This window comes from Homo sapiens, chromosome 4 (assembly GCF_000001405.40).
Source record: "Homo sapiens chromosome 4, GRCh38.p14 Primary Assembly".
Classification (NCBI taxonomy): Eukaryota; Metazoa; Chordata; class Mammalia; order Primates; family Hominidae; genus Homo; species Homo sapiens.
The window spans coordinates 158,005,157-158,029,644 of NC_000004.12; the positions used below are offsets into that span (position 1 = coordinate 158,005,157).

At 37.1% G+C, this 24,488-nt stretch overlaps 2 long non-coding RNA genes across 2 annotated transcripts in view, besides 1 other annotated feature; both read right to left on the reverse strand.

Annotated features, from left to right (window-relative positions):
• The window catches only part of LOC105377509 (uncharacterized), a 227,163-nt gene that overhangs the window by 201,727 nt on the left and 948 nt on the right, over positions 1-24,488 (reverse strand). The gene's annotated exons all lie outside the window — the stretch shown is intronic.
• LOC124900801 (uncharacterized) lies at positions 3,742-4,599 on the reverse strand. Its single transcript, XR_007058348.1, has 2 exons — positions 4,433-4,599; positions 3,742-3,973 (listed from the first exon to the last, which is right to left on the reverse strand). It is a non-coding gene; the product is annotated as an uncharacterized LOC124900801 (long non-coding RNA).
• Positions 10,561-10,717: a silencer, noted in NCBI's record as "fragment chr4:158936869-158937025 (GRCh37/hg19 assembly coordinates)". NCBI's record gives its function as "represses an EF-1alpha promoter that drives an FKBP-Casp9 reporter gene in an ReSE screen in phorbol 12-myristate 13-acetate-treated (for megakaryocytic differentiation) K562 erythroleukemia cells {active_cell/tissue: K562(+PMA)}" and the evidence as "EXISTENCE:reporter gene assay evidence [ECO:0000049][PMID:32094911]".

Consider the following 24,488-nt stretch of genomic DNA (forward strand, 5'->3'; position numbering starts at 1 on the left):
AATGGAATTGTCCTATCAACACTGGAATAAAACAGGCTGCAAGTACAACCACTAAAGCATATCCCAAATTCCTAATCGGATAGCAAGGGAAACAGATGGGGGATACCCAACACACACATCTCACACATGACCACTGAGGACAAAAATAAGGAAAACTATAGAGTAAAATACAACTAGGGTGACTAATTCAGGTCTGCTGACAAAAGAACTTACAGTGTCAGGGAAAATGGAGCAAATAATCCTTGCTATTCTTTTTGAGCCAGATAGGCCACCGTGTTTTGTTTCCCATTCTTTCCATCCAATGGAAGTTTTGTGGTACATATTTGTATTTTCTATCAATGTGTTTTGCATATGACAAAGATAAACTCTCTACTTGTTTGATGATGCTTGATGACCATGAGGAACTACACCCAGACCTGATGAGAAGGAATTAATATTGACCAGAGGCCATAGACTTGGAGTGAATGTAGTAACTGGGAAAAAGGAATTTAAGAATAAGGTTCTGTTTGTACTTTTGCTAGCCTAAGGGATGGATTATAGTTTTTTTTTTTAATTTGCCAGGACCCATGCCCCCTATATTATTCAAATGTAGCTCTATTCTCAACTTCAATGGTAAAGTAGCACCATACACCTGGCCAAATGGTGCAGAGCAGCATTGGATCAGGAATGGGCAAGTGACCAAACTGATTCAATGAGAAGAAATTACAGGTCAAACATGGAAGGGACCTGGTTCAGGATACAAGGCAAAGGCCCATTTTATGATGAGGAGAGTCTGTAGCTGAATATGAACCCAACAGAGGGGAAGCAGAGCTCAACGATGAAGAGAAAGAAACTGAGTCTTACTAATTGCATCAGACCCTGAATTGAGAGACTGAAAGCTTACATTTATCTAACTCTGGATTTTTCAGTAACATAAGCTAATTAATTATCTTTTTAGTTAGACACGCTTGAGATTGAATTTGCATTCACTTTGAACAGGAAAATAAAATCCCAACTAACTTTCTGAATTTATTTCTCCCTCCCCCTTGCACAATTTTATACCATAGCCACACCAAGCATAACCAATATTTTCACCTTTTAGAGACTTGGTTCTTATTAGGCTTCTGACTGGATGTTTATTTCTCTTCCCTCCCTGGAAAACTTCTATTTACCCACTAAAGCTCAGCTATCTGTTTTCTTCCTTTGTAAAGACCTCTCCAAACTTCTAAACAGATTCATATGTTTCCAAAGTCATCATCATTTCTAAGACTACAACAAAAACATGTGATCTGCTGTGTATGTCTCTCACATATGATACAGAGGTTTCGTCAATCAGCGATGGGGTTTTGTTTTTCACACTGTATTTGTTATTTTGGCTTTAAGCAGAAAATTACTATACAGGATTTAGAATAATTTGTAACAAGGCATTGGCAATAGCAGTTATACTGTTATTTCCAAAATGTGTGGTCCTTTTGAAAATCTTTAAGTATACTACTTCTTTTCTAAGCAAGAAAGTTATAATTCTTGAATAACTATGCTTATTTGTAATATTTTCACACAGAGTAGAAACTGGAGTGTTACGGCCTAAATATATTCAAATTTTGTGTGCTTTGTCTCTGTTGAGTTCCACCAGAATTTCTTTTTTTCTTTTCATTTACTCCTATATCAGTACTTCAGTTGGCTAAAAATAACACTTTGCTGAAGGCTCATAAACAAGAGTATTTTAAGGCGGACAACAAACTATTTTTAAGGTGCATGTTTTAAATGCCTGACTTTGGATGATGTGCCACCTACTTTAATGCTCAAAAGAAAAAGTGACACAACTGTAGAAATAATTATCAAACTATTTTAAGTATTATACTGGTGGCCAAAAGAGAGAACATTTATTTTTAAGTTAGGATGTTACAAAAAATCATATCCTCTTTTTCCTTGAGTTCAAGTTTCATATGGTGTTTTATAAGCTGTTTTTCTTATGCTTATGGCACAATGCTAACTGTTTTTATTAGGAAATGGCCTCCTGGCTAAGTGCCTACTCATTGTATTACAGCATTTTCCCTCAGCTGTAGCAGAACAACAAACCAACAAGTTCACACTTCCTTATTAATTCTGGAAAACCCTTACCATGCATAACACAGCATGAACCTTTTTATATCTTGACAATTGCTGGAAGTGTTTTATTTTATAACAGAATTTTAAGAATATCCTAATTAAATAGCAAACAGTGGTTACTATGGAAACCATGTTCATAAGTTTTATAATTGTCTTTAAAAATGTTAATTGTCTTCCAAAGCTGTGACTTAGGCTATTAATAACTTGTAAACCTGTTGTTTTTCTCTTCTCAGTGGTTTCTTGCTTTTTGAATACAGCATTATAGTTTGATGAAAGATGATATAAGTGATCATCTTTAAATTATTGATGTTTCCCACAATTTATGGGAACAATTCAAATCTCTTAAGTCGGTTCAATTATGTTTAGCCTAAGGCCATCTCCTTACATATTTTAAGTTCACCCTAAATGTTTCTCTGTACATCCTGAACTATAAACTAAATGGAGTTGTAACCTACTCTTAGGCCAATCACCAAGTTTTGGCCAATCAGATGTGGCCAACTGTTCAAACCCTGTTCAAATAAGGCAAACACCAAGCTGTAACCAACCTAGCTGTTTCTGCACCTCACTTATGTTTTCTGTACATCACTTTGCTTTTTCTGTCCCTACATCCGTGGCTGTGCTGAAGTCATGGAGCCTACTCTGGCTCAGGAGGCTGCTGATTCATGATTCACGAATAGTTCTTTGCTCTATTAAACTCTCTTAAATTTAATTCAACTAAAGTTTTTCTTTTAACAAGTCTTAAAAGTGAAGCTGGGAAGCTTGCACCTATTAGCATCCAAATGGAAACACTTACTTGTGCTTGGGATAGAAACAATGTCAAAATAAGGAAAAGTGTGGATTAATAGAAAATAGATCTTTAGTGTATTCCTACTTTAGTTGCCATCCATTTGCTCCTCCATTTTCTATATTTGTATAGGTTAGAACCTCACACTTTGTATGTTAAATATTTGCAATGCCATGTAAAAGAAAGAACCTGGACATATACTAGTCTGCATTTGATTTCTGACTTCCTGTCTATGTGACTTTATTCAGTTAATTTAATTTTTCTCAACTTCAATTCCATTGAATACAAAATGGGAAATTGATACTTTTTGTATAAATTTGTTATGAATATATTAGAGAAAATGAATTGCACATAAACAAAAGCCTAGTGACAAATAAATGGCACTCATAACAGATCCGCAACTAAACATCAACAACAACAGTAATTATCAATTGTGAGTACTTTCTTTGAGCCGCATCTTTACAAATGCTATCTATTTCAGCTGTCAGGTAAAGATTAGCAAATGCTATTGCCTTGTTTTTGCTGCTGTTTTGTTTTGCCCTTATTGCCCCAAGTTTACACATAATATATTCTCTTAAGTTAAATTTTTAGATTGGGAGAAAAGGTCACTGATATTCTGGAAAGAAAACAAAACAAAACTTAAAAGGACTACACTCATTCCAACCTCCACATCCGCCTGCCAAGAACAACAAACCTCCCTTCCAGCTTCTCCCTCCTGAGCAGCTGACATAGTTTTACCATCAGGCTCTGTAGCCTCCTCATTCCCCAAAAGTTACACATTACTTCTTTGTCTTCACTGTGCCTCCTCTCTGTCCCTTTCAGAGTTCAGGCAGCTACCCCTGCCTGATATGCCTCTCAGTCGATATCAGTTGTTGTAGACATATCTTTATTTGTTTCGGTAAGAAAAGCTTCAGATTGACCACTAACCAAGGATCATGGAGAGATTCACTGGCCCTCTCAGGGCCTGCTGCTGTTAAGTTTTGGGTGAGGTCTGTCCGGTCTGTTTGCCATTTCCATCCACCAACCCCATCTATTCACTGCCGACGTGCATGGGCATGTTGCCATGTCAGAGGTACCACAAGAAATATTTATCTTCTGAGGCTAAAAAAAAGCATAGAATTATTTCCTTTTGAAATTGATGAGCTCCATTCTTGGGTCATCAGTTTTGAACTTGACACAGCAGAGAAACAGAGAACAGTGGCTCCATTTGTCGGCTGCAGCCTTGCTCCTTGACAAACCTGAGGGCAAGTTCCTCAGGCTTGTTGAGAAGGTTTGTGCTCCAATCCCTTCAACCTTGCAAACTAAATGACATATTACACACATTTTAAAAATGAAGAAAAGGAAATAAAGAGTGATAAAGTAACTACCCATGATCATGTTACCGGAAAGGGGTCCAGATCCAGGCCCCAAAAGAGGGTTCTTGGATATCACGCAAGAAAGAATTTGGGGTGAGTCCACAGAGTAAAGTGAAAGTCAGTTTATTAAGAAAGTAAAGGAATAAAAGAATGGCTACTCCATAGGCAGAGCAGCGGCATGGGCTGCTCAACTAAGGATACTTACAGTTATTTCTTGATTATATACCAAACAAGGGCTGGGCTGTTTATGAGTTTTCCTGGACAGGGGTGGGCAATTCCCCGAACTGATGGTTCCCCCCTTTTTAGACCATAGAGGATAACAACCTGATGTTACTATGGCAACAGTAAACTGTCATGGTGCTGGTGGGTGTGTCCTTTAGCATGCTAATGTGTTATAATTAGCATATAATGAGCAGTGAGGACGACCAGAGATCTCTTTCGAGGTCATCTTGGTTTTGATGGGTTGTAGCCAGCTTCTTTACTGCAACCTGTTTTATCAGCAAGGTCTTTTTGACCTGTATCTTGTGCCGACCTCCTGTCTCATCCTGTGACTAAGAATTCCTTAACCTCCTGGGAATGCAACCCAGTAGGTCTCAGCCTTATTTTACCAGCCCCTATTCAAGATGGAGTTGCTCTGGTTCAAACACTTCTGACAATCACACAGCTAATGCGCTGTTCCACTACACCAGTCTGACTCTATGTAAGCACTTAATACATAGTTGTTAAATAACTAGGTGTGCTAGATTTGGAGCAGAGAGCTGAATATGTAAAAATGAATACAGCCTAAGCCCTCAGAGCATAGGGCACATAAGTCTGTGTGAGGGAATAAATAGGGTAAGTTCATAACCAAGCAAGATAGATAGATAATAGATAGAGAGAGAGATAGACAGATTTAATGAATCTATCACTATAAGTGCTTTGAGAGAAGTCTCTACAGTGCACAAGGAGAGTATAAATGAGGGAATGGCATTTCTTTGGAGGTTAAGGTTTAGTTTTCTAAAGGGAAATGATGGCCAATGTCTGCTTTTTGTTTACTTTTTTTGTTTTTTGGGCTTTTTTTTTTTTTTGAGATGGGGTCTCATTTTGTCTCCCAGGCTGGAATGCAATGGTGTGATCATGGGTCACTGCATCCTTGACCTCCCTGACTCAAGCAATCGCCCGTCTGTCTCAGCCTCCCGCGGTGCTGGGACTACAGTCATGAGCCATCATGTCTGGCCTGCCAAGGTCTGTTTTGAGAAGAGTGAATATGGGGATCTTACACTGTGCAATATTTGAAATATCTAGAGGAAACATTATATAATGCAGTAGAAAATGCTTGAAAAAAACGTGAAGTATCTTGACAGCCCACTAAAAACACTGTATGATTTGTTTTGCCCTATATTGCAGTACTTCGGTGGCTTTAGCTGAATACGGTTCATCACAAGCCAACCTGTTAACATGCAGATGTGAACAAATGATCAAATAGAACTGAAGTTTATGGCCATTGCTTAACTCTTAGAGAATAAAAGGCAATAGCATTTCCCGATTATGAAGAATTCTACCTTTGTAAAAAATTAAACAAATGAAATTGTATCACTTATTTTCTAAAGGAATAAATTTAGAAAATATCACCTTTGGTCATAGTTGTCACCAGAACTGAATTTAAAATATTCATTCACTATCATTGCAGCCTGTACAGTCACTACAGTCTATGGTTTAAATATGGCCATTTTAAATTTGGGGGGTTTTGTTTTGATAATCACAAATAACTTTGATAAATGGTCAAATTTCACTTTTTTTATGTTTACCACATTTATTGGGTATTTTCCAATGTACCAATGCTGAGTCTTTTGGAACTGTCATTTGTAGCTGGTGCTTGTTTGACATGTGGAACCCAAAGACAGCAGAACTCTCTGTGGTCCCCATCCTAGTGCCCCCTCCCCACCCCTGCATCATTCCTGTGCCCCTCTAGGGGATGTGGCCAAGACTTTTGGAAGCCAGTGCCTTCCAGCTATAACAGTGTTGATATTCTGATATATTTACCAAGGCTCTAGTTTATACACAATCAGTTCTTCTCAAGTTGCCTCCTGCACTTATCAGTGGGACTGAAACACAACATAAAGACTACTGTCAATATTAAAGTTTTTGGCAAAGAGTGTGCACCTGAATCATCTTCTTTGTGCAGGGAGGTAGGATTAGGCACTGGGTTTGTCACAGAGCAAGCTGTTGTAAAGAAGTGAAGTGGATCCTGGAGATGGTTCTGTTGCAGTGGCAGTACAGTATCTCACCAGGTAGTGGCTGGAGTTGGCTCCAAGTCTCTGGCAGGGGAACACCTTGACACACGTCTGGGGTCGCTGGCACTCCCTTCCTCTCTGACTCCAGCCTTAAGGTGAAGAATTCCATGTAGCTTCTTGTCCTTTCCCCTCAGCTGTCTTTGCTTCACAAGGTTTTAGCCCAAATAAAGAGTACAAATCCCAAAGCCACATAGAAATGAACTTTCTGCTAACTGGAAGCTTTAAGTGAGTAAAGGTACTTTATAATGAAAAATGCATACATTTAGTTTAGGAAAACTGAGATGTTAACATGTACCTGGTGAAATAAGAAGAAATATCATCCTGATAATTCTCAAATTTTCTTCCCCTACAAGCACTGATCTCTAGCAAAGTGGGAAGAATATGTAAACTTCACTGTCATCATATAACATATTTCTGTTTATTAGGTGATTTTGTAGATAGTTTCAGTTTCATATTTAATATTATTTTATTTTCTGTTTATTTTTTAAATTAATTCTTGGCTCAATTTGGATCATGTGCTTTTAGAAAATTATTTTAATTATGATAGGAGACTTAAGTTGGTTATTTAGAGAGGACTCTGTTTGTTTACAGTTTTATGATCCTTCTCAAATGCTTTAAGAAACTGAAAGCCTGTAAAGCTTTCATGCATACTGTGAACTGCACACTTCAGTTCACAGAAGAGATTTAATTAGAATATGTTGATGATGAGCAGTCCATCTTTTTCATGTAGTATAATTTATTAGACATAAAGGTGGCATTATTTATACTGTTCAACCATACTTACATATATGCAAATATGAATTTAATTTGATTGTCTTGTTTAACCCTTGAAAAGCACTGAAGCCATCAATAGACAACCTTTAAGATGCTTCAGGGGAAGAGATACTTTTCCCAATAAATGTTATTGCCCTTCTGTCATTAGTAATTAGTATTTTAGCTTCATAGCTTGTTCTTTTGTCTAATATATTTCTGTAAATCTTTCATTCTCTAGCCAATCAATCAGAAGAAATTTTTAAGAGTTGATGGATGGTATGTGTGTGTGTGTGTTTTCACATAAATCAAAGTTGTACAGCAAGTTTGATTGTCATGCTGAGCTTGTCAAAATTAATCTAAGATTTATCATAAAGAAAAAAATGATTTTTTTCTGTTATATAGTTTGTGAGTTAACATAGAATGGTGGAGTAAGTAGCCTTTAGAATATACTTCCAATTCAATTAGTCCTAAGGTTTATATTACATTAAAGTAAAAATTCTCTGGACACAAACAAATATTAAGAATATATATAGTATTCTGAAAAATATGTTAATAAACTTCATTTTAATTTTATTAAATAGCACATTTTCTGTTACTTAATATTATTTAGAGAAGCAGGAGAATGAGAGCAATGAACACATGTCAGATGAGCAAGTAGAGAGGAAATTAAAGGACTAAAGGCATTGTTTCTGAAAATAAAAAAACCAGGCTATGGTCATACTGCCCTGAATGCGCCCAAACTCATCTGAAAACAAACAAACAAAAAAAAACAAACAAACTTTAAAACCAAATTTTAATATACGATAATAAAATTTAAAAAACAGAGAGAAAAAATCCATAATGTTCTCAATGGATGGTGAACAAAATGAAAACATGGTTTGATTTAGTTTGGTTTTTGTAAGAAAATGGAGTAAATTTTTCATCCAAACTCCAAATTCAATTTTGTTTAAATGTCTCTGATCTGTCCTTTAAAATGGGTGATTTCACTCAGTCTCTTAAAACACAAACACGCACAGAGCAGGAGCAACACCCCTACTCTGCAGTTGGGTAGTTGTTCTCCAGATTCTAAAAACAACAGCAAAAACAAGTTATATGAGGCCTGTTCATGTATATTACCTGATTTGGTCCTGCTGAATATAGAAGAGGCTATCTTTGCTTTGAACAAATGACACATTTTGTGATTCATTTTTAGAGCCTAGGAGAGGAAATAGACAGCAGTTGCTTTGAAACAGAGAAAGAAGACAGCCCACTCCTAAGAAATAAACCAAAGATCTCTAGAAAGTGCCACTGGGGTTGGGTTGACAAGGAAGTTAATGATAAGTGACAATAAAAACAACAATTAAAAACCTGAATTTATCCTAAGCATTTATTTCTTTTAAAAGACACTCTAACATCTTTTATTGTTTTAATTGAAGAGCTATATAATTTTCCTATTTAAATCTATTTTATTTCTCTTGCCTATTCACAAGCTCAAACAGAAGTCTTCTCCTTTTGCTATGTGTTTTTTTCTCCTTTACAAATTGGACTTCTTTATTACCAGCACAAAGCTTTAAAAATCCACATAGACCAGAGTGACCACTTGACTCATTTTTCAGAGATAACAACACTAAGCTCTTTTTATTTTTCTTTAGTTGCACTGGTGATTATCATAGATCACATTGCTTGATAGATACATAAGGCATGAAAATTGTTGGCCACAATGTACTAGGGAATGGTAAGGAAGATACTCTGAGTCATAACTAAACCATGGGGTTTAATATTTTGTTTCATTAATTTAACAAATATATAGTGCATGCTATTCTACTAAGTATATACAGTTCCAGGAACTGAGAATACAGTAATAGTTATTGTTTATACAGTAATGAGGAAAAACTTAAAACATATAATTAATAAATGCTATATGGGACCAGGTGCAATGGCTCATGCCTGTAATCACAGCACTTTGGGAGGCCAAAGCAGGCACATCACTCGAGGTCAGGAGTTCGAGACGAGCCTGGCCAACACGGTGAAACTCCATCACTACTAAAAAAAAAACGAAAATTAGCCAGGTGTGGTGGCATATGCCTGTAATCCCAAGTTACTTGGGAGGCTGAGGCAGAAGAATTGCTTGAACCCAGGATGAGGAGGTTGCAGTGAGCCAAGATTATGCCACTGCACTCCAGCCTGGGTGACAGAGCAAGACTGTCTCAAAAATAAAAAAATAAAAAAATAAAACTCTGCATGGTCTGTCTCATAATACCACTAGAAATAGTCCTAAATTGTGAATTAACTATTTTAATAGATTTGCTTTTAAAGCTGAAACATATGAAACTTATAAAAGACAATAAAATCACATATGTACTGTTTTTATTTATTTACATATCTAGTTCTCCTATCACTAGACTAAGTTTTAATCCCCAGTAACTACCTTTGCAAAGCATAAAATAATCAAATACATATTCATTTAATCATTGGATTTAATTATAATCCCAAAATATTAACTTAGAAAACATAAAACTGTCAAACCTCAAGTATCCTCAATGTTAAAGCTTTTATTTTACTTTGAATTTCTTAAAACAGGTTCAACTTTCCCAATGCCACTTGGTTAGCAATTGGCAGAAATAAATAGAAATTTGGCTCTGCTCAGAACACATCCTTTTCATTGAAACTTTTTTTTCTATCAAGGCTTTTAGTTGAATTTTTTTCAAAGTGCCACAAATATAAAAGAGAATTAGCACTATATTTTAAATATAAAGCAATACAAATAAATAAAATTGGGTTGACTATTGATTAAACAACATTTCCAGTACCTTCTAAAACTTATTTTCTTGTGACATAACTTTTCTTCTGAAAGATTAATGCTAGCTAGAGATAGCTAGTTGTTTGCCAAACACTAGGTCGAGTTGGGTATTTCTGTGTACCGAAGGGTAGAGTTGCTCTGGAAACTGGCTTCTCTCACAGCCTTGCATGAAATTAGGGTCAGATGATTGGGTTCTGGCCAAGAGAATGTGAATGAAAGTGACATGAACTAGGACTTTTCAAACTTTCGTTTTCATAAAGACCACCTGAGAAACTAGTTAAACCATCTATTCCTGAACTCTACCAACAGTTTCTAATTCAGTAGGGCTGGAAAAAGGCTGGTTTGTGGGTAATGCTGATGCTATCTGCCCATGACTCACACACTGATATACATGACTACTACTTTGCCCATATCCAGTAAAAAAAAGAGATATTTTTAATAATATCATTATTTCTATGTTATGAACGAACAAAAAAGTAACCATCTATTTACAAGTAGATAACAACTGGTTATATTCTCTACCATCAATTTTTGTTGTGGACAATTACAAATTCCATTTATTTGTTTGTTTGTATGTTTTGGACAATTACAAATTCCATTTATTTGTTTGTCTGTTTGTTTGTGTTTGAGACAGAGTCTCACTCTTGTCACCCAGGCTGGAGTGTAGTGGCACCATCTCAGCTCACTGCAACCTCCACCTCCCAGTTACAAGTTATTCTCCTGCCTCAGCTTCCCAAGTAGTTGGGATTACAGGCACATGACACCATGCCCGGCCAATTTTTGTATTTTTATTACAGACGGGGTTTCACCATGTTGACCAGGCTGGTCTCGAATTCCTGACTTCAAGTGATCTGCCTGCCTCAGCCTCCCAAAGTGCTGGGATTACAGGCATGAGCCACTGCACCCGGCCACAAATTCGGTTTTTAATACACATATTGCAAAGGTAGAAAATCCTATTCCAACCAGGGGATAGTTATATGAAAAAAAAGTTGGCAGAAGAGTAAGAACTATGAATTTAAGACATCATTTGTTGTCTCTGTATTATTCCCAAGAAATCATAGCCAAAAGAAAGAAAAAATGATGCAAAGTGAAAAAAACACTAGCACATATTTTATCCTTAGAAGATCTCTACTGACCACCATGATGGTGGTAATTACTTTATGATGTAAACTACAACAATTAAGCTATTCCTAGCACACTTATTATGAGCTTCAGAAAATCACAAGGATGCAAACACAACTAAACTACATTAATGTGGACTCTCTTTTCAGCATAAAAACAAGATGTTCTACGGGTATGCCAGGAAAAGGTTTTTGGCTTAGGCAACTCCTTCCAGAAACAGTTACTCTATCCTTCAGTCCACTTTTTAGTTTACTTATAACCTTCTCACAGCTCAATAGCTTCCCTCTTCACCTTCATCTTTTCACCTCTGGCACAATGTGGAAACAGCTCATCCAATGCCTAACTCAGTCTCCATGGTTTCAACCCATTATTTCAACATCCTTATAAAAACATTCTTAGTACTCCTGGAGTAAAATTTTATTTCACAATATGTCTGCTATTTATGATCCCCCTATATCTGCTTAAGCCTGTAATCTTTCAAAGCAAGCACCTTCAGATAGCTTCCCGTTATTAACTTGAGATCAAGGATTAGTCTCCACTGTATAGTAATTATTCAAGGTGGACAATGAAGGTTTTTGTTTTTCTTGCCCTACCACAGAGCTGAGAACTCTACCCAAAAATTATGTCATCATTTTTTCCTGCATTTGTAGTAGGCATTAGCATCATTTGGTGAATGGGATGCTTGATGTAAAAAGTAGTTACAACTTGCCTAATAACACAGTCAACATTTTTAGGAAAGTTAACATTAGAATGGAAGACTCACAAACCCAATATATGTATATATTGTATATGTACATATATTGCGTATATGTATATATTGTATATGTACATATATTGTGTATATGTACTAACATATACACAATATATGTATATATTGTATATGTACATATATTGTGTATATGTACTAACATATACACAATATATGTATATATTGTATATGTACATATATTGTGTATATGTACTAACATATGTATATGTATACATATATATTCTAAGCTATTTAACCTTTAGTAATAATTATATTGTAAAAATTAAAATGGCCCCAGAACACCCAGATCTGTGTTTGCAATAAATGAAAAATTGACAAATTATTTATATTTCATTATCTCTCTCGATTATATATTCCATGTGGCAGGCACCACACATATCATTCATCAATCACAATAATACAGTGCAGCATGGTACGACGAATCTAAAAGGTGCTTGGTAAATATTAGTTAAATCAATGTTGAAAATATTAAGTAAAAATCATAAAGTATGCCTGAAGAAACCTCATTTATTCCTGGCTTTTTTTTTCTTTCACTTTTATTTTACTTCGTGTCGTGGTTAAGAGCACAGCTTCCAGAATCAGACTGCCTGGGTTATAAGTCATGGCTCCTCTATTGAGCAAGTTACTTAACTGCTTCGTTACTCAGTTTCCCCAGCTGTAAAAAAAGTATAACAATGCCACATAACTCAAATAAATTTATGAGAATTATATGAGAAAGTTCACATTGACCTCTTGGGTTAGTATTGTAATCAGTTAGTAATTGTTCACTATTATGAGACTTTTCACTTGATATTGGTAAACAGCTCTGTTTTTTAAATTTATGATAAATATACCAATCATACAGAGATATAAAGGATGGAAATTAGATCAGAGAATATCACAAAAATATGTTCATCATAAAATAAATAAAAATAATGGGTCTTTATATTTGAAATCATGTCTAGAACATTATCTAATACCCATCATTTCATTCTAATTAGGGCCTTATAGGTAAATAGAGTTTCTTGATATTCTATTGTTTTATTTCAAGACAGGAAAATAAAGATATGCCGCATTTTAAAGGTGCACAGTTGCTAATGAAGATACCTGAAATTCAGCTGTCAGCCCTCTGAACCATATATTAGATCAATTCGACAGTTTATTCAGTTAGTACCACTGGCAGAATTTCTCCATAATTCTTACCATATGTACTTTTTTCTGCATTTCACTTCCCTTTTTGCTCTTTTGCTCTCTCTCTTCAACTTTATCTACTTTTTGTTGCAATTGTTTTGGTGATTTTATTGTTATCATTGGTGGTGGTGCTGGTGATAGTGGTGGTTTTTGGAACAATTGCTTTTCCTTCCCTAGCTATCTCTTTATTTTTCTCTTTCCATGACCTAAGAAGCAAAAGTGCCCAGTAATACACAGGAGCCTTGCTTTGTTAGCAGAATTTGTCATTTGAACTATGTGACCTCTATAATCATTTGTTCTACAGATGCCTTCTTTAAAGACTCATTTCGGAACAAGAAAAGGCTTTCAGACATTCTCCAATGACTAGCAGCATTTGCCATCCATCTTTAAATGGGTAATTCCCCTGTCAAAGACCTAGTCTCCTAGATAATTATATGCAGAGAACTATTATTTATTTTCCCTGCCAATGCACTGGAATCATACCAAATAAATCATGTGCTGTGGTATTAAATGTTGGTGAAATAAATGAACATGAGGTTTTAGAGTGACATGTCTTGGGAGTCAAAAGTACCTATGAGCTAAGGCATTTATCTCACTTGTTCAGGAGCTGACATTGGGTTCAGTAATTGGAAATTCGCATCATAATATTACAAAGGACAAATATTCACCCATTTCCATTGAGATGGCTTCCTCTTTAAAAGAATTATTTAGAGAGATTTGCACTGCTCTCTTGATATTGATAGTTTATTCAGCTGTTGAACAATAACTTAGGTTTTTCCAGACCATCATTCTGCACATGTTAAAGAACTCCCAAACCACCAGGCTGGCTTAGATAAATATCAGACTCTGGATAACTTTGGTATCAAGGAATAATGTGAAAGATAATCCTCTTTTCCTAAAAAGATGGGATGGGGAGCTACTTTTGAAAATAAGGTTTAGAAATAACTATTTTACTGTGAGATATGTTTATATTATACTAATGTATGCAATAAGTAGCATACAATTTTATTTTAATCACTATATTATAATTCTATGAATCTTACATATAGAAAAAGAATAGTAATAAAATATTCTCATCTTGAAAATGAGATAGTGTATGGTGGTTTTTCACTTTTCTATATTTCCTACTATGAGTGTTAATTATTTTTATATTTAAAAAATGAAATTAAGGTTACTAAAAATATTTTAAATGTTAGGGCATAATACATAAAGTAACACTTTCTCCCTTGTATCTCTTTATTATCATTCAAGTTTTCTTGCTATTCTGTCTTAACCTGTACTGTTCCTTCAAGTAATAAACATCAAAGGATTACTGTATTAAAATTACTCGAATTAATATGCTTTATTGTAAAGTATAATTAGTGTCAAGTAATTGTATCACTAGCTCATGATGTAGCTCAAAATGTAAAACAGACACCAGGCTACCTGGAAAGCAGGGAACTCCAGCTCTGACATTACTAGCAGGGTCATCCTAGGCAAGTTACTTAACCCCTCTTTGTTTCATTTTCCTTACACATTACAGTGGGATAGTAGTAGAAACCACTTCACAGATTGTTGCAAGATTAAATGAGTTATTATGTGTAAACATTTAGAACAGAATCTCACACATATTAAGTTCTATATGTGTCGTATTATTCTAGATTTTGGTGGACTTCATATGAGCATGATAACTATATAAATAATAATCTTATATAATCATTTCCTCTGGGTGCTTCTCCAGTGCTCCTAATAAGTTTGATGCTAATCTTGTTCACTAAGTCTCAACTCCTATCACAATACCTGACACACGGTAGACACTCTCTATATATACGTGGAATGAATAAATCTATAATAACTATTACAGTCAAGATGCTGTGTCTAAAAATGAAATCTGATACATGAATATAGTCAGTCATCTGAAAATATCAAGGATACTCTCTTTTTGCTAAAACCAACAAGGAAGTATTTCAGTTGAATTATTTTTATAGGCCCTTATACTATTGTTTATCTATTTCAGTGAGAGTCTGTTATTCTTTAACAACCTTGCATTCTTTCTTGATGCAGAGCTTATGTTGAATCTTAGGACTGTGTTTTCTGAATGGGGTCAACATGTGTTTACCATCTGGCTTTACTGTGTGTTACTTTCAAAGTCCATACATTGAAATACAGTAGAAGCCTCTTTATACCACATAAAGCACTTCATGCTAAGTTCCATTGGCCTGGTCCCCTGACTATGAGTCATAGTCAGCTGGAACATTGCTTGAGAATAACTTTACAAGGCATTAAGAGAACAAAAGATTTTAATGACTGGCTCAAAATGGTCTGGAATTGTGAATGCTTTCAAGAATCCATTTATATGTTGTTTCATTAGGAGCATCTGATGATTAGGAGTATGTGAGGGGCATGTAACATTTTTTTAACTTGTTCAGACAAATTATAACAGAATATGATAGTAAGTTTCAAGCTCAAATTTGCCTGTTAATCATATTTAATCTTTCTTTGTAAACTTTATTTTCATAGCATTACTGTATTATGGAAAAGAAATAGAGTATGATATTTTAACCCTTGGATCAATCTCAGACTGTTGAGATCCTTTCAGTTCTGATTTAGTACAATTTCAGGATGTAGGAGGACATCTCAAAATATTTAAGTGGTTCTATAAGCCTGAGGCTGGAAATGAATCACAGAACCATTTTTCATCTTGTCAGTCGCCGACATCATGCTTAAGGAATTCTTACAGCAAAACAAATGCCTATTCAGAGAACGTTAGCCATTCTATTCCTTGATATTAAGTCAAAGCAGTAGTCTCTACAAAGAAGCTTTGAAAATATGCCACTTTGTAAAATGTAATATTAATCAGTATGTTCATTCCTCACAAAGATAACACTAAAATGATAGGAACGAATTTAACAACTCACACACCCTGGGCCAAAGAGGCATTAATCCAGAACTAAAAATATGTTAACATTATAAAGATATAACCTATCTGGATTTCATCTAGCGTAAAAAGAGTTGTAAATCTAAGAGGAGTGATTTTGATATATTATTGCTGATTTCTAGATACTCTGAGGAAAAGCTATAAGATTTAGAGGTAGACAAGCCCTGTTGATCACATCCAGTCCAGTTTTTCTTCAGCTTTAGCTGCACTTTAGGATTACCTGCGGAGCCTTTATAAATCTCTATGCTCAGGTCAAACCCTAACCCAATTAAATCAAACTCACTAGGAGTGGGAACCTAGATGTCAGTATTTTTTGAAAGCCCCCTAAGTTTTCCTATACAAAGTCAATCAAGGTTAAGAAGGTCAATCACGGCTCTAGTTAGAGTCTGGTGGTGTGGCCAAGAGTGTAGGAGCTATCTTTGGACATGTTGGTGAGAGGTGGGTGACTAAAGGCAGGGCTTACTATTAACATGCATTGGCACCTTCTTAAGTGCTTTACCTGTATTATCATGTTTAATCCATTCTAATGGGTAGAAACTGTTACTATCAGCACCGTTTGTACAGATGAGGAAACGAAGAGAAACATCATACAACTAAGAATGGTAGAAAGAAGATTCAATCCCAGGCATTTATTTATTTAACAATTACTTATTGTTTATATATTATACCAAATGCTGCGACTTGTTGGAGTGCCCACATGCTTCATGTAATAAACAAGGAGATGTATTCTACCAATAAACACCTAATGATCAGTATGGTTGGGCGCATTGGCTCATGCCTGTAATCCCAGCACTGTGGGAGGCCAAGGCGGGCAGATCACCCAAGGTCAGGAGTTTGAGACCAGCCTGGCCAACATAGGGAAACCCCGTCTCTACTAAAAAATACAAAAATTAGCCAGGCATGATGGCACACACCTGTAATCCCAGCCACCTGGGAGGCTGAGGCAGGAGAATCACTTGAACCCAGGAAGCAGGGCTGCAGTGAGCCGAGATCGTGCCACTGCCCTCCAGCCTAGTTGACAGAGCGAGACTTTGTATCAAAAAACAAAACAAAACAACAACAACAAAAACACCTAATTATCAGTTGCTGTTTTTACGTGTGTGTTGAAATCAAATGTAAAAAACATACTGTTAACCTCGGTAGTATTGTGGAAGAATTGATAATTCTAACATAGGTATAAAGATGACCGAATTTCTATCTCCATCAACTTATGTCTGGCTTTCAAGTGGTCAGCAAAGTAGAATCACAGCCATTATGATTCCAGCAACATTGAACCAGATCATAAATCTTAAAATTCACATATATTCAGCACCTAGATGAAACAATACTCAAGGAATAAAATTCTTAAGAAGAGAGAATGGATTTCACGGTGTAAATTACATTCTCTCCAACCCTCTGGAAATGGTGTATTGTTTAAGACTTGCCTTCTGCATGGGATTCCCAGGGATGAGGTGGCTACAAATAAAATGATCTAATTTATGTGCAGTGTAAGAAACGCATTCTTTTCATCCTACTTACTAACTCTAATTTCCTGCTTTCATAGAGAAGACATAAGAAAACCACTGAATATTTAAACTGTATTTTACACCATGGCTTTCATTAAGAGTATTTTCTGTATTTAAGAAAATCTCATAGATTGAAAAACAACAGTTTGAAGATATCAAATACCTTCTCCCTTTTATCCAGATATGAACAAACCGATTTAGACCCACATCTGAGCAAAAATGATCTTATACATAAGTGTCAGGAAATTAATAAACATGAGTTTGAAATGAACTAATTCTTTGATCCAGGGATCACCTATAAGCATTGTTTCAGGGCAATTAAAAAAAACTGAGGTCACTTTCGAAAACTTTCCTCAGCTACTGGCAAATATGCAATGGGGTATTCATTTCTTTAGCTTTATTACCATTAAAGAGAATTTATTATTAATGGCTAACAAACATATAAAAAATGTTCAACATCACTAAGCATCAGAGGAATATAAACTGAAACTGCAATGAGATATCATGTCACACCAGTCACAATGGCAATTATTAAAAAGTGAAGAAATAACAGATGTTGGCAAAGATGTGGAGAAAAAGGAAGATGTGGAGAAAAAGGAATACTTATATACTGTAAATGGGAATATAAATTAGTACAACCTCTATGGAAAACAGTAGGGGGATTTCTCAAATAGCTAAAAATAGATCTACCACTTGATCCAGCAGTCCCACTACTGGGTATCTTACTCAAAGGAAAGGAAATCATTACATCAAAAACACACCTGTACTCATACGTTTATCACGACACTATTTACAATAGCAAATCTAGTGCCAACCTCAGTGTCCATCAACAGATGATTGGATTAAAGAAAATGTGGTATATATACACAATGAAATACTATTTAGCTATAAAAATGTATGAAATCATATCTTGTGCAGCATCATGAATGGAACTGAAGGCCATTCATTATCTTAAGTGAAACAACTCAGAAACAGAAAATCAAATACCATACGTTCTCACCTATAACTGGAAGCTAAATAATGTGTACACATGGATGTAGAGTGTGGAATAATAAACACTGGAGACTCAGAAAAGGTGCTGACAAGAAATTACTTAATGGGTACAAAAAACATTATTCTGGCAATGGATACAGTAAGGGCCAAGACTTCACCACTCCTCAATATATCCACATAACAAAATTGCAGGTGTACCACTTAAATTTATACAAATAAAAAGAAAAGAATGAGTTTCTGAAATGGCTAAATGTATGTCATTAATAGTAATTCATACTTCTGTGTGAACAACAATTTGAGAATAAGCTTTTCTATGGTCTTAGGAAAGGGCACATGTGACTCCTGAGACCTGGGAAGGTTGGAGAGAAGAGCAGATATCTGGAATAGGACAATGAGAAAGTGCATGAACTCTAGGAACACTGAAGGCAAATTCAACCATTTCACAAACCTGTCTTGAAACCACTTTTATAAGGACTCAAGGGATATCTGAGAAGGAAACTAGAAAAACTGCTTTTCATTTGTTCCTTGATGATGCACATTTCCTAAGGCTAACTTACAATAAAGACTGGATTTCACAATATCAAAAGAGCATAAAGGTATTTTAACTGTAAATAACCCCTTTAGCACAGAACAAAATTTGAAAATAAGTAAATGGATATCCTTAAAAAAGATCAGAGAAGAAGAAGAGAATGAGAAAGGGAAAGACTCACATTATTATTACCATTGTCACCATCATCAATTCAGCTCAATAACCACTGAAATCAGGTGTTTCAAGAAATTTTATCACAAAATACAAGATTGCAAATAAGAACTATATGAAGAACTATATTGGTGTAAATGATACAAGCCATTGAACACACTAAAGAAGAGAATTATGCTGCAAAATATGTGAAGAATCAACCGCGTGCGTATGAAAAGCAGATCAAAATAATGAGATTTACAGAAGTAGAGAATAAACAGAAAACCACGATTATCTCCAAATGATAGATTTCTAAAATACATTAAATACACATTATGCATAATATAAAGGTAATTTCAATAAGCTTATGCTGAAGGAAGATGCTGTTGATTCTAATAACTGTACTGAATCAGTAAGTAATGCATCATCCTCTTGCTGTCACTTTCATTTATGAAATTCAAATTCATTTCTCCCAAAAGAGATAGAAGTAAGGAAGAGAAAAAGAAGTGAAAATTATAACCCTCCCAGATCAAAGAAAACAATTTCAAGCAATAAATATGAGTAGGAAAATAATGTCAGCTCTTGAAATTATATATCTCATTCTTAGGACAATAAAAGTAATCTTTCCATGTATTAAAGAAACTTTTTAAAAAATAAACTTGAGAAAGGCTAGACAAATAATCTTATCAGTTACTAGTGTTGTAAAACAAATCTCCAAGAACTTAATACTATAAAACTAAATAGTGTTATTATTTCTCATGATTTTGATCTGTTGGGAATGCATAAATAGCTTGGCTAGGCAGATGTGTCTCAGGGTCTCTCATGAAGTGACAGATTGCAGGTGAAGATGTGGACGGGGGAGAGTAGAGATGACCAACCATCCCTCTCTTCATATAGTCTCATAGCTTTTCCATGTGACCTCTTCACATTAGGACAGTTTACACTCCTCACAGCATGATGGCCTCAAGGCAGTAGTATTAGTCACATTGCAGCTCAGGACTCCAGACTGCATGTTTCAGTGATCAAGGTAGAAGCTGAGTCTCCTATTATGACCTAGCCTTGGAAATCATCCAACACCACTTTTGCCAAACTTTGATAGTCCAACAGCCCAGATACCTTCTTTGTCTCATGAGTATGGGATATAAATATTATCTTTCAATTGGAATATAAAAGATGTATTGTAAAAATATCATGTGAGATGGGAGATACGGCTATGACTATCTTTGGAAAGTGTAATCTGACACAAATATGTTACAAGTATATTTTTTGCTAGACTGTAGCAAAAAAAAAGACAATAATGTGGCAATAAAAATAAGAAAATATCTCATTTAATTTTCTCATTACCCTTTTAATTTATAGTTTCAAAAATTGGGGAAGTGGCCAAGATGGCCAACTAGATGCAGCTAGTGTGTGTGGCTCTCATGAAGAGGAACAGAAGGGGCAAGTAAATATAGCACCTTCCACCAAAACATCCAGGTACTCACATTGGTAATAATCAAGGAAACAACTCAACCCACAGAGAATGGAGAAAAGTAAGGCAGGATGACAGTTCGCCCAGGAGCCACATGAAGCCAGGGAAACCATCCTCCACTCAGGGAAGTGATGAGTGAATGTGTGACCCTGGGAATCCATGCTTCTCCTACAGATCTTTGCAACTCTCAGATCAGGAGATCCTCTCATGAGCCCACTTCACCAGGGCCTTCAGTCTGACACACACAGCTATGTGGAGTTTCGGCAGAGCAGCTGCTCAGGCACACACACAGACCCAGGAGCCTGAGATACTAGGGCTTTCCAGGCTTCCCAGCAAAAGCAGCTGCAACTCGGGCAAAGTGGGAGGTTAGACCCCTGTACATACCCCTAGGAAATGGGCTGAATCCAGGGGGCCAAGCAGCAAGAGTCTGTAGGCCCCACTTCCACAGCACCTCACAGTATAAGGCCTACTGGCTTGGAACTCCAGTCAGCAGCCAGTAGCAAAATTTCACCTCCCAGAGACAGCTCCCAAGGGGAAGGGCAGGCCACCATCTTTGCGTTTGGGCCACTTAGTCATTCCAGCCTTTGGGCTTTAAAGAGTCCAAGCCAACCAGGGACAGAAGGGATCCCCCAACACAGCTGCTCTGCAAAAATGTGGCCAGACTCTTTTTTTAAAGAAGATCCCTAATCCCATTCCTCCTCACTGGGTGGGACCTCCCAACCAGGCCCTCCAGCCAACCTCACCAGAATTCTCCAGCTGACAGAGTTTTGAAAGCTTCCTGGGATGGAGCTCCCAGAGGGAGGGGCAGGCTGGCATTTTTGCTCTTTGGGCCACTTAGCTGTACCAACCTTCAGGCTTTGAGGAGCCCTGACCAGTGGTGGAAGTGGTACCCCAGCACAGCACAGCTGCCCTGTAAAAACGTACCCAGACTACTTTTTTAAGCAGGTCCCCAAACCTATCCCTGATCACCAGATGGAGCCTCCCAGCCAGGGTCTCCAGCTACCTTTGCTGGTGTTCTCCAGCTGACAGAGGTTTCAAACTTCCCTGGGACTGAGCTCCCAGCAGGAGGGGTGGGCCAATATCTTTGCTGTTTGGGCAACTTAGCCATTCCAGCCTTCAGGCTTTGGAGTGTCCAAGGCAACTGAGGGCTGATGCAGACCCCCAGCACAGCAAAGCTGCTCTAGAAAAACATGGCCAGACTGCTTTTTAAAGTGTTTCGCCAACCTTATTTCTCCTCACTGGGTAAGACCTCCCAACCATGGTCTCCAGCCACCTCCTACAGGTGCATTCAGGCCAGCAACAGGTCTGTATCTCCCTGGGATGGAGCTCACAGAGGGAGGGGTGGGCTGCCATCTTTGCCGTGTCACAGCCTTCACTGGTGATACCTCTAGGTACTGGAAAATTCGAGGCAAATACAGACTGGAGTAGACCCCCCCAGCATATCACAGCAGCCCTACAAAAACGTGGCCAAACTGTTAAGTGGATGCCCATTCACATATCTCCGCACCAGGAAGGTTCTCCAAGCCTGGGCCTCTAGTCACCCCCTGCCAGGTCTATTAAGCCAACTCAGCAACTCCCTGGACAGAGCCTCCAGGGGCAACTGAAAGCCTCTCTGCCACTGTCTCTGCAGTGGAACTGTCCTTGCTACTCTCAGACTAATGAAGGAACGAAGACTCTAAATGCCTTATCCACACCTTCAACAAGCTGTAGTCATCCCAAGGAGAGGAGGCCAGTCCATCTTCCACAGGTTGCACACATCCCCCACTGCTCATCACAATACAGGGAACCCCAGTCTTGGGCCCACAACACAGACCCTTCTTCCTGGGCTGACTGCACTGAGCAATTGCTGACCCACATCTCTCTGAGGTGGAGCCACCAGGGGACAAGCAAAGTGGTGGAGCAGCAAGCCAGATGATATGGAACCCAGAGGGTTTGGTTCAGGAGTGTGTGTAGCAGAGCCTTACCAGAGACGGCTGTTCTTCTAGGCTCAACTTACTCCCATAAAAGACTTTAGCTCTAGGGGAACCATCAGACCTGCCCTCTGCCCAGTGGTCTTGCATGTCAAACAGGGCTGGTCCAACCTAAGCACCCCTTGGTCTGCTGACCTCTCCCAGAACCCCAGCCTGGCCATGCCTGTTTACGGAGCAGTCTCAGGTGCCTTTGGGATCCACAGCACAGCTTCTGTGCTGGCAGACAGTGCCTAAATGGTGGACAGCCTTAGCAAGGCAGTCCCTTTGGCCATGCACCAGCCCACATGTACCCTCCCCATACTGCAACTTCCCCTGAGCTGAAATGAAAGAAAAAAATTTAAAGGCAGTTGGAAAGAAAGGTCAGGTCACCTACAAAAGGAAGCCTAACATTCTAACGTGGACCTCTCAGCATAAACCCTACAAGCCAGAAGAGATTGGGGGCTAATATGCGACATTCTTAAAGAAAATAAATTCCAACCAAGAATTTCATATCTGGCCAAGCTAAGCTTTATAAGTGAAACAGATTTTTTACCACAGATCTGCCTTACAAGAGCTCCAGAAGAAAGCACTAAATATGGAAAGGAAAAATTGTTACCAGCCACTACAAAAACACACTGAAGCACACAGACCAGTGACACTATAAAGCAACCACATAAACAAGTCTGCAAAATAACCAGCTAACATCATGATGACAGGATGAAATCCACACATAGCAATACTAACCTTGAATGTAAATGGGCTAAATGTCCTAATTAAAAGGCACAGAGTGGCAAACTGGATAAAGAACCAAGACCCATGGGTCTGCTGTCTTCAAGAGACCCATCTCACATATAATCACACACATAGTCTTGGAGGAAAATCTACCAAACAAATGCAAAACAGAAAAAAGCAGGGGTTATAATTCTAGTTTTTGACAAAACAGACTTTAAACCAACAGAGATCAAAAAAGACAAAGAAGGGCATTACATAATGGCAAAGCATTCAATTCAACAAGATCTAACTCTTCTAAATGCATATGAACCCAATACAGGAGCACCCAGATTTATAAAAGAAGTTGTTAGAGACTTTCAAAGAGACTTAATCTCCCACACAATAATAGTGGTAGATTTTAATACACCACTGACAATGTTAGACAGATTATTGAAACAGAAAATTAACAAAGATATTCAGGACCTGAACTCAACAGTGGATCAAATTGACCTGATAGACATCTACAGGACTTTCCACCCAAAAACAACAGAACACATATTATTTGCACAGCCACATGGGCTATGCTCTAAAATCAATCACATACTTGGAAGTAAAACACTCCTCAGTCAATGCAAAAGAACTGAAATTATAAAAACAGTCTCTCAGACCACAGTGCAATCAAATTTGAAATCAAGACTAAGAAATTCACTGAAAACCATACAGTTACATGGAAATTGAATGACCTGCTTCTGAATTACTTTCGGGTAAATAAGGAAATTAAGGCAGAAATCAAGAAGTTACCTGAAACTAATGATAACAAAGATACAGCATACCAGAATCTGTGGGACACAGCTAAGTCAGTGTTAAGAGGGATATTTGTAGCACAAATGCTCACATCAGAAAGACAGAAAGATCTCAAGTTAACAACCTAACAATACAACTAAAAGAACTAGAGAACCAAGAGCAAACAAATCCCAAAGCTAACAGAAGACAAGAAATAACCAAAATCAGAATGGAATTGATGGAGACTAAGACATGAAAACCATTCAAAAGATTAACAAATCCAGTACCTGATTTTTTTTAAAACATTAATAAAATAGATACACCATTAGCTAGACTAATAAAGAAGAAAAGAGAGAATATTCAAATAAACACAATCAGAAATGACAA